The sequence below is a fragment of the Homo sapiens genome, chromosome 1 (assembly GCF_000001405.40).
Source record: "Homo sapiens chromosome 1, GRCh38.p14 Primary Assembly".
NCBI classification, from domain to species: Eukaryota; Metazoa; Chordata; class Mammalia; order Primates; family Hominidae; genus Homo; species Homo sapiens.
Window position 1 is genome coordinate 90,697,375 of NC_000001.11, and position 11,881 is coordinate 90,709,255.

The 11,881-nt window shown below is 41.5% G+C and overlaps 1 annotated feature.

Annotated features, from left to right (window-relative positions):
- Positions 8,671–9,465: an enhancer, noted in NCBI's record as "H3K4me1 hESC enhancer chr1:91171602-91172396 (GRCh37/hg19 assembly coordinates)". NCBI's record gives its function as "activates a minimal SCP1, AML or CMV promoter by ChIP-STARR-seq in naive H9 embryonic stem cells {active_cell/tissue: H9 hESC(naive)}" and the evidence as "EXISTENCE:reporter gene assay evidence [ECO:0000049][PMID:30033119]".

Here is an 11,881-nt window from a genome sequence, read left to right on the forward strand (position 1 = left end):
CATGAAATTTAGCTGCTTCTGTTTACTCTTTGAATTATACCTATTAAATTGCCAACTCAATTTATTTTCCCAGTTGTCATTAGCCCGTTAATAATATTGTTAATAAGCTAAAATGTCTCTCTATTCCTTTTCTTAGCTTCTGTAGCTGCCTGAATTTACTTACTAATACAATTTAGAATATAGGATCCAATAAAAAGTGGAGTCAGTTCCTGACATCTGCCTTCACTTCCATTCTTATTAAAGAGACACATTTCTAGAAAAGGGTTGGGAGTATTGCTTGCATTTCTCTTTTTGCTACACATAATCAGCAACAACAAAATAGTCTAGTGACTATTTTGACATAGCTACTTCAGATCTATGAAAAAAGGATGTTTTAATTAAAATGTAGGCCAGTGGCACAACTAATTCAAGAATTAGTTGATGTCACATAATTAATTCAATTTTACCAGATACTATTCTTATCATTGAAATATATAAAATAAGGCCAGGCGTGGTGGCTCACGCCTGTAATCCTAGCACTTTAGGAAGTTGAGGTGGGTGGATCACCTGAGGTCAGGAGTTCGAGACCAGCCTCGCCAACATGATGAAACTTTGTCTCTACTAAAAATACAAAAAATTAGTCGGGCGTGGTGGTTGATGCCTGTAATCCCAGCTACTCAGGAGGCTCAGGCAGGAGAATTGCTTGATCCCTGGAGGCTGAGGTTGCAGTGAGCCGAGATCGCGCCACTGCACTCCAGCCTGGATGACAGAGCGAGACTCCATCTCAAATAAAGTAATTTTTTAAAAAAGAAATATATAAGATAGCCAAAAACCAATTGAAAATTAAAATTAATTTTTAAACAATTTTTATTATATCACAACTATAGTCAACAGTGATAACAAATATATATTGTGCCCTTAGGATCTTCAAGTTAATATGCCAAGTATTTGAAATACCATGAAAGATCAGACATGGTTCTTTCCATCAGGGAATCTATATTGACTTACAAACATCACTTGGATATGCTGTTTTTAATTAAGCAATGACTTCATATTCAATTACATAAAGTTTAAGTACTTATGTTATACTAGGCACTGACCCAGGGATTAGGGACAAAAAGATATATCTATCACATATTGAGGATAATGTTAAATATTAATTCACTAGTTATGATCAGGAAGTATGCATAGATAAATGTTCTTGACAAACAATCCAGAATTTTTTTTTTTTTTTTTTGAGACGGAGTCTCACTCTGTCACCCAGGCTGGAGTGCAGTGGTGCAATCTTGGCTCACTGCAACCTCCGCCTCCTGGGTTCAAGCAATTCTCCTGCCTCAGCCACCCGAGTAGCTGGGACTACAGGTGTGTGCCACTACACCCAGCTAATTTTTTGTATTTTTAGTAGAGACAGGTTTTCACCGTGTTAGCCAGGATGGTTCGATCTCCTGACCTCATGATCCACCTGCCTCGGCCTCCCAAAGTGCTGGGATTACAGGCATGAGCCACCGCACCTGGCCACACAATCCAGAATTTTTAAACCAACACTTAGAGAGAGAGAGATGTGATGATACTTTTTTGTTCATAGCTCACTGAAACCTCAAAACCTGGGCTCAAGCGATTAATCCTCCTGCCTCAGCCTCCCAGTAGCTAGTACTACTAGTACTATGGGTGCAAGGTTTTTTTGTGTGTTTGTTTGTTTTTATAGAAACAGGGTCTTTCTATGTTGCCCAGGCTGGTCTCAAACTCCTGGCCGCAAGAAATCCTCCACTTTGGCTGCTCAAAGTGCTGAGATTACAGGCATGAACTGCTGCCCCCAGCTGACACTTTCTTTAATTAATAAGTAGACTTTGAGTGTTTTATTTCTTTTCTTTTTTTTCTACTTTGTCACCCAGGCTGGAGAGCAGTGGTGCAATCACAGCTCACTGCAGCCTCGACCTCCCAGGCTCAAGCGATCCTCCCACCTGAACTTCCTAACTGGGACTACAGGCATGTGCCACCATACCTGGCTTAGTTTGGGATTTTTTGTAGAGATGGGGTTTCACCACGTTGCCTAGGCTGGTCTCGAACTCCTGAGCTCAAGCAATCCACCAACTTTGGCCTTCCAAGTGCTGGGATTACAGGTGTGAGTGACCATGCCTGGAGAGTGTTTTATTTCATTATTCCCTGAGCAATCCACAAGGAACATTTCTCATCTTGCTAAGGAAAACTACCACTATGTACTTTCAAACATAAAGACCAATATCTCTCATCCTAGAATGAGATTAAAAAGAAAACCTCAAGAGTAAAGCTATCAGCTGAAAAACTTGTTGAGATAAATGTTATGTGCATACTGTGTATTCATGGTAATACAGAGGAAAGCTTTTCTTAATGAGGAAGAATTCAAAGTTTTACAACACTAATGTTGAGATATAGAGGACCCCTAAAATGCTGTCACAGTTAACTGCAATAGATGCTATTAAGCTAATTTTTTGAAATCTGAAATTCATACGGTACTGGCGCAGATTCTCACCATGTAGCAGATAATGTTTTCTCTTACACAGATTCACTTTCATGTAGCTATAAAAGGGCTGATCTTAGTAGACTGCAAACCAATCACAGCACTTCACTCTGGGGAATATAGAATAAAGAGGGTGAGAGATCACTAATTACAGTTGCCAATATTTTCTATAGATGTGGCCAAGTCACCATGTAAGAAGTGGTAGTATATGTAAGAAGCAGGAATATATGTCTTTCGTAATACTGACATTACAAATATATGAAGTTAAGGTATCTCACAAATGCAAGTCCTTCAAAAATCTGCTCTCTCTATATATTGCCCTATACTAATATATTCTTAGACCAAGCCTGAGAGAGAAATTCCAACATCCACTGCATTGTTGGACAACAAGGAGGCTTCTAGTGAAAGATAGCATCTTTTTATAAAAAGAAATAAAAAAGAAGGTATGATATGTGTTATATTTCCAGATTTCAACTAAATAAATATTAGTGGTTCTATCTTTTGATTGATGAGAAACTATATAATAATGGATTTCTATCTGCAGAACAAGTTGAGCCAAAGAAAAGTAGGGAAAGGGGTCAGTAAAGTTGGTGCTGAGGGACAAGACTAAACACTATTTTTATAGGTCAGTGGTTCCAAGTTTGTTTCTAAGGGCTGATGTATGTTGTTTTGAAGAACATCATTTGATCCTCAATATAGTCCAAGTCACAGAAAAATAATTTTATTATATCATGGCCTAACTGTACAACAATATGAGAAATCAAAACAAATTTATATTAAACTTTATTCAATTGAAGGGGGTATGTTAAATACATAGATTTGTGTCTTTTCTAAACACTTATTATTCATATCAAGAATATCAGGGCAACGCGTTAAGAATGATTGCGAATCTTACAAGCCGTATAAAAAGAATTCTATAATGAAAAAAATCCCTAATCTCCAAAAACCAAATATATTTAAATGTATATTTCTTACCATTTCTAACAGAAGCATCTGGAGCCAGAAGAACTTACATAGAAGTAGAGGGTTTTTTGTTTGTTTCGTTTTGTTTTTAACATCATAGCATTATTTCCCTTTGGCTTGTAAAGCCTAAGGTATTATCTTCTTGTGATGCTGATATTGGGAAGTAAAGAAATATTTACATTATGGGCTCTGTGATATAATGAAAGATATGTACTCTATATTACAAAACAGAGGAACCATGATTTAATCTTTCCCACAACTCAAACCATGTTAGAGAGTGTGCCTCTTAATGGGTTTTTATTATGTTTTGTTCCATAAAGCATTTCTATTCATGATAGTGATAAACCAATATTTCAGCATTGTTTCTATAAGTCCAAATAGACTTTTCAAATCAGAATTCCATGCAGAAATCAGTCCCAAAGGATTACAACATTTTTAAACATTTAAAAGAGCTATGAAATGTTCTTGGACACTGAAATCCTTTACATGCATCAGGGCATCAAATAGATATTTATACAAGATAATAAGGGTAAGTGCAGACACACAAATCAGTACAAATTTATCTATATGGATAAAGAGATGCTTCTGTTTGCATATGGATATTCATGAAAATTAGAGGGAAAAAGTCAAAACTAAATAAATATTTAATATTTCAGCACCTGTCATATAGTTTTTTGTATGTGTGTGCTTTACTACTATGGACTAGCAGTAGTACTGCTACTCTAACCAACTTCATTAAAGAATAAAAGAAAAGTAATAAGTCATTTCACACTCTGTCTGACCATTATACAATAATAGCAAGATTTCATGCAAGGGTACAACATTATGCCCATCTGCAATCACAGTCTCTTTGCAAAAATCTCAATTCACACTTCACATGCAGCTAACCTTGTTACCATCCCTTCCTAAATCCATCAGTGTTGCAGCTGCACGTCTTCACAGCCCAACATCTTAAAATTCATCACTTTGGCACCTTAGCATCACTATAGGTCAAGATAAAGAATCCAACCAAGAATAATTAAAGGGCACCCAGATGTTTAGTTTACTTATCTCAAGCCTTTCCTTTAATATATTTGAATTGCCTGTGTGTACTATTTCTTTCATATTTTTAAGATATGTGCAGTGTGATTATTTTAAGGGTATGAGACCTGGAACAATACATTTCAGACTTTTTTTTTTACAAGTAGAGTTCTTTGTAGTTGAAATTTGAACAAGAGGCGTGATAATGAGTAGGTTGAGGGAAGGAAAGGTGTTATCTCATTAAGGTAATTACTAAGACATCCCCACTATTATATCAGTTTGAAAATGTGGCAATTAAAGCGCCCTACATGGGCTCCTGGAGACAAGAGAACAAGACAGTTCTCTTGGAACTTCTGTAGTACGGTTAATGTGTGTCATGTAAATGAAAGGGTAGACTATTGCTATTTAATTCTTTTCCTCAAACCCCCTACCCTCACCCTCAAATTTCTTTGTCAGTTATGGTTCTTTTTTTTTTTCTTTAACCTGAATTTAGCTCTCATGAAAGGTGCTAGATTGACAACCCCCAGAAGCTAGAGCCCTCTACTTACCCACAGAATAGTTGGAGCACAGAAAACAACAGGGTAAGCTTGGCAGGCAACATGCTACCAACCTAAGTCAAAAGAGATCTGACCTTCCTTCCCACTCTTTAGTCAGGCAAGTCTCTTGCTCTGATGAGAAGGCTGTCAAATTGATACCCGAAGTAAGGAAGCCTTAAAATACACGTAAGAAAAATGGTAAATGATGTTCGTAGCTTACTTCACTACAACCTATACAGGGTAACTCAGGTGGTAACTCAATTTACACAATTCAGTGAAACCACTACCTTTGGTCACTAATTCATTTGGTCACTAATTCATTTCCCCTCCTGAGCTGGTCATCTTGCTCTTGCTCTTTCTTTGCTTCCACTCAAGATCAATAGTAATGTGATATACCAAATAACACACAGAAACCATTCTCAAAAATCTTGCTTTCATGGTCATTGAAATATTATTTTAAAATACAAAAATTAGTTGAGCATGGTGGCACACACCTAGAGCCCCAGCTACTCGGGGGGGCTGGAGTAAGAGGATCACTTGAGCCCAGGAGGTTGAGGCTGCAGTGAGCCACGATCCCACACCACACTCAAACCTGGGCAACAGGATGAGACCTTGTCTCTCTCTCTCTCTCTCTCTCTCTCTCTCTCTCTCTCTCTCTCTATATATATATATATATATATATATATATATATATATATATAAAATATATATACATATACATGTATATATATTACACATATAAATGTATAATATATATACATGTATAATTTAACTCAAAATTTAAAAAAGAAAATAAATGTCCAGCAATGGAAGGATGGTTGACACACCTATGGTACTTTTTTTTTTTTAGCCACTACACCCGAGTTATTTTTTAATTTTTTGGTAGAGATGGAGTCTCACTATGTTGCCCTGGCTGGAGTGCAGTGGCACAATCACAGCTCACTGCAGCCTCAACCTCCTGGACTCAAGCAATCCTCCTGCCTCAGCTTCTCATGTAGTTGGAACCACAGGTGTGTGCCACAACATCTGGCTAATTTTTAATTTTTTTGCAGAGACAGGGTCTCACCCTGTTGCCCAGGCTGGTCTCGAACTCCTGGACTCAAGCAATCCTCCCACCTTGGCCTCCCAAAGTGCTGAAATTACAGGTGTGAGCCACCGCACCTGGGCACAATTATGACACATTTATGGAAGAGATTATTATATATCAAATATCACACTTACAAAGAGTTTTAAATAATATAAAGAAATATTTGTATTACATGGGAAAAACATATACATCCCAAATGAAATATGACACAACTACATAAAAATGCACTGCAAAAATCCAGAAATTATAAACCAAATGGTAGTAGTGAGTGGTAGAAGATGAGTTTTTTTCTTCTCTCTACTTTTTAGCATTTTATAAATCTTCTACAGTTAGCAGGCATTATCTATACAATAGGAAAGTTATTTTAATGATTTTCACAAAAAGTCTGTTTCTTTTGTAGTAGAATTTGACCACATAAATTTAACTCCATTAAAATTGAAGGTCAAGAATCACCTGAAAGTGCTGTAATCCTGCGTTTTCTGTTTTCTTCCCTTTTGTCTCCTATCCTTACAGGAAAAAATAAAAATGGGAGAGGAGAAAAACCATTAAGCAAATACATTGTAGAAAAAAACTGAAGTTTAGAATAGGTATTAAACTGGATGACTTTTGAGATTCCTTCCAGTCCTGGGTTTGGATCAAGATCAGCTCTGCTTAAAATTCAATTACTTATTAATGTGGATGTTGGAAATATCCTCTGCCAAATTTCTGGACAGAACCGAGTACCAGTCATGTTCCTCTAAGGGACTAGATCATTCACGAGAAGAAAAGAAAAGCCCGTAAAACATGTTGCCAAATAGAAGGGATCCTTCTTGAAATGCCAATGCCTTATGTGGCACTTGTGTATAAAAAGCAGTGTTTTGAATAGTTGGGTTTTTAAATTATGTTCCAAAATATTAATTAATAGTAAGATCCAACGCATTTACAAGCTTAAATGTACATGGTCATCTTTTCATCATTGACATTTCTCAATGGAAATGTTTATTTGACCTGTCACCTTCGGCCACATGAAAACACCCCAGACATGTGAAATAACAAAGTAAAAATCAGGAGGACAAGGCAGGCAGGGAATGGGGAGCTGAAAGGATTCTGCAAACCTGGGCCTTAAAAGTCTCCCAGCAGGCCACAACTTTCCTCTTTTGAATTCGCCCACCTGACACTTCTTACCAGACCCTTGGCCATCATGTCTACTATCAGTTTCTGAAATGAAAGCAGTCATTGTTGCTTTACTAAATGAGGTGGAAAGGTCTTAATGTTTATATATAAATTCTAATCTAATTCTGCCCCAATAAATTTCTTGGTGGGAGGACTTTCAGCATGTGAGAGGCACTGTACCTTCTGCAGGAAAAATTAGGCCATGAGACTCAAGATCGGCTGTGCGGAGCTGCCTAATATCATCCCTTATGCGCCAGCAGGGGCAAAGAATTTTAACTCAAAATAATAATAGGAGACGGGTAAGAGGAAATGGATAACAGAAGTTTGGGCCCGGCTCTGCAACCAGGCACGCCCAGGTAGCTGCCACTCAATGGCTGAAGAGAAGGCAATGGGAGAGCCCCTGCAATCGCGCAGCCAGCCGCGAGGGTAGTAGTCACGTGATGCCGCTGGCTAGAATTGTTTGGTGCGAACATCTGGCTCTTGGTGGTCATCTCTAATGTGTGTTAGAAAAGTTTGTGGGGCAATCAGAAATGTGGATTCCCAGAAATTTCCAAAGCAATCCAGAAAAGAAGGAAGACAAAGGGAAGTGTGCTATCCCACGGTTATCCAATTGTGCTTTATGTGACTTTCTGGGCCAATCTATCAATGCATAGTAATGAAAGATTATGTGAAATTTATGTGTCTATTCACATATGATAATGTTTAATGCAATGCCTCAGTGTGTTCACTCAAGGCCAGTGAGAAAGTAGGTGTCCCTTTAAAATCCTCTTAATTTAATGGAAACAATTTGGTAAGCTTTCATTAATAGAACATTTGTGGGAAATAAAACAGATGAATAAGAAGGTGACGCTTTAAAGTGGCTACAGCTCTGATGCACCCTACTTCCAGTGGGAAACTGTCTTTCTTAATATCTAGTCTGGAATCTCTCTGCTCATCAGTTTGCAGATACCCAGTCTGCAGGAGGCAAGAGTTGGTTCAAGAGGAAGTTGGGCAATCAGATTATCAATGCTACTAACAAACATTATTTGCATTTTTCAGAAATTATGACACGGCAATTTTATCAAATTGGAGATATATTTAAAATCAAAAGCTTAAAATTAAATCATTAGAAAAACTGTTCACTCTACAGGAAACCTAGCTAATGTGCTTGGGAGACTCTGACATTTGAAAACTATACCAAATAACTTAGCTTTCCTGCAGTAGGAAGTGAATAGCACGGACTTCCACATTTTTTCCTAACACTCTGTCAGCTGATTTGTTTTAGAATGCAGACCATTTTTACACCACAGGCACCCTAATTTTGTATTATAGGAGTGGGGAAACAACGCACCACTAATATCTAATTCCTCTCTCCTAAAGAGGCATTATAAATGTACATTGTTTTATAGAAAACTTTCCCTACTAGTTCACGTGAGGATGGACTGTGCCTGAATGGGCGCCCTGGAACACCTCTTCCTCCAGTCCCCAGAGGCTTTGGGGGAAACCCCGTCTCGCGAATAACGCTTGAATCTACAGACATGGATAATCCATTGCACTACATATGTCTACTGGTTCCTAAATTCCACTTAGCATTTTCGTACCTCCAACTATAGTGGGAAGGAGGAAGAGAAGAGCCAAAGGGGAAGTAGGGGGTGATCAACAAAGAGGAGTTGACTTCCAAGAATTGAAGAGAAATCTGAAGGAGGTATCATTTGCAGCCATGAGGTCTTTAGAGCGGTGGGAGTGAAGCTGGATGCAGATAAGAGCTCCCATCTGAGCAAAGATTATTTTATTGTCTTCACAGGAGAAGAAGGCTTTATATTCCCTCCAGAGCCCCCCGAGATGTGAGAGAAGGGCCCTGCTCTGTAGGCCATCCCAAGTACCGTCCTTGAAAGCGTCTGGATTCCCGTCCCAGGCCTATAGAGCCCCTGTCCTGATGCGCCCATGCCTCCCTGAAGCGCTGTCTGTACCCGGGCGCAGGAACTCGTGGCGGCCGGGCGGTCCTGAAGGTGGAGGAGCGCGGGGCCCAGCTGGGGTACGCGCCGAGCAAGAACCCGCACGGAGCCGGCGCGCCGCGGCTGGGCTTCAAGGCCGCCGCGCCAAATCCCTGGCTGCGACGTGTATGCGAATCGTTAGGAGGAGGCGGGAGGACAGCCACACTGAGGGCCTCTTCACTAAAGAATGAAGTCTGACGGCGGGAATGGGGGTGGGTGGGGGCGGGAATCCATCAGCTCCACAAAGTGACAGGGCCCTTTTATCGTAAATCAAGTTCAATCTCGCTCTCGCGAAGGTCCTCTTTTTTCGGCGGAGCTCCCGCAGGGGCGACTCGCTGTCCCAGACCAGATAGTAGCAAGAGCTGGGAGAGACCCAAATCTGCAGGGAGAGGGCGCGGGCTGAGAGCCGCGGTGGGGAGCAGGGCCTGGGCCCAGCGCGACCTGCAGGGCTGCTGCCTCGGGAGCGCTTCTGCTCTGCCTGCGGTGGCCGAGGCGGCGGCTCGCCGAGCGCGCTCCGAGCTGTGCGAACAGAGGAAGTATGTGCCAGTTAGAAGGGTTCCGCCGGCCACCTCGTCGCAGCCGCGGCGCAAGGTCTTGGAGCCGCAGACCTGAGGCCCGGCTCCTCCCTCCTCGGCTTCCACTAAGAACTTATTAAATAGGGACGATTCACAGTTGATCTGTCACTGAGCACTACTTACCCCGAGATCTTTGGGTTTTTGAATTACTTTATTGATCTGAAGATTTTGTTCTTTGGAATGTGACCCTGTTTGGACTTAGAGCTAATCAGGAAACGCTGCCGGGGAGGTTGCTTTGTAATCACTTTGCTTACCTCCCCCCGGGCGCCGCCGACCCTTCCTAGACGCCTCCGCTGCGGCCGCCTAGGCTTTTACCCGGAACCCGCCAGCCCAGGTTACCTAGCTCCACCCGGCGCCCTGGGAGCTGTCTGTGGTGCTAGCACACAGAAACCGGGAGCGGGAGACCCAGTGGACAAGGAGAGGAGAGAGGAGACAAACTGAGAATGTAAGGTTAACCGAGACGGTCCACCCAGCAACACTCAAACTGACAAAGACCTTCAAAATTCAGCCGGAAGGACCGGGGGAAATAGTCCCTTCTGGGTCATCTCATCGCCCCGAGACAGATGACCTGGTTTTCTAATCCAAGAGGCCAATGACACCTCCCTTTCTCTGAAAGCACACCTCCCCACAGCCCCACACACCCCTCTCACTTACCCCTACCCAGCCCTGGGGATAAGGTAAGAAGTCAGGGCACTCGGCACTGGACCCTTATGATAAGTGGCCCTAACTCCAGAAAAAGACACAAATGTTAGCAAAGAAGCCTGGAGATGACTAAAAAGTGGGACTGGGTAAAGACCTAGTGGGAGACTTAAGGAGCTTGGGGATACTGTTCCAGAGTCCATAGGAGTAATCCCTGGAGAGGCCCCCACTCACTCATCTGCGCACACCGCTCTCTAGTCAACAGCCAGGGTACAGAGCAAGCCCGAATTCCCTCACCAAAGATTCAGAGATGCAAAAGAAACATCATTTCCCTGCAAGGCTTGACCCCGCCCCTGAGCATGTCCACCAGTGGTGAAAAGTCTCATTCTTTCCAAGCATGTTGACTTCAAGCTTGGTTTTTTCAAAAACCAGGCAGCTCTCTTCCAGTACATTTTTGTAACCACGTGGCTTAACAAGAACTAAAGTTTCCCTAGCCCTGGGGAGAGCTTTTCCAAATATTTTTAGAAAGTTAAAAATATAACAAAACAAACTACTCACAAGCCACTTGTTTAAAGAGGGGAGGTGGGATCCGACAGACTCCTGGGGAAGGGCTGCCTAGGCAGGAGTCAGATGGCAGGGAGGGAGGAGGAGGGAGAGTAAGCAGTTTTATTTGCAAGGGAGGAAATCAACTGTCTAATTTGCCATCGTGTGGGCTTTCATTTTAAGGGGTGGAGCAAAATTAAACGGATACAGGGTGGTAGGTATCTTTGCTGGAGGCATGGAGCCAAGAAGCAATCACTACTTTGCAACTCATTGAAAAATCACTAGTTTGGGCTAGAACAGCTGGCTGCTAGCCGGGGAGTTAACTTCTTCCTTCACACTCACTACAGATTTGTGTAGGTTTGCTGGGGTCCCTGAGCTGATCTTGGTGTTGGCAAATCTAAGAGGCCTTTGTAGGTCTTTAAACGTCTCTCTGAAATAACTTTGTATTACTGTGTTTCTGTAGGAAGCAAAGATTGCCACTGAAAATCTCTGTTTTTCTAGCCTCCGACTTAATCAAAGGAGCAATCTAAATGGAGTCCAGCCACGGAGTGCCCTTCAGACACCAGCTGAAGGTGGGAAAAAAGAAAAAGAGTACAGTTCCCAGGGACAGCTGTCCTCTGCTTCTCTGTAACTCCAGATTTCCCATGAGAATAGGCCTCTGCCTGTTACCTTGTTCCTTGCTTCTCAGAAAACCTGGAGTTGCACTCTTCACCTCCTAGCCAACCTCCTAATTTAGTTGAGCAGGCACAGAAGGAAAGAAGGACCCTTTGTGAAGAAAAAAATTGAGTTTGCATTTGACTTTTAAGCAGGTGACTTTTGAATACTAGGGCACCTGCTGAGGTGCCCTTTGCAGTACTGCTGCAGAAAAAGAAGGAAAGAAAAGAAAGAAAAGGAAAGGAAGAAAGAAAGAAAGAAAG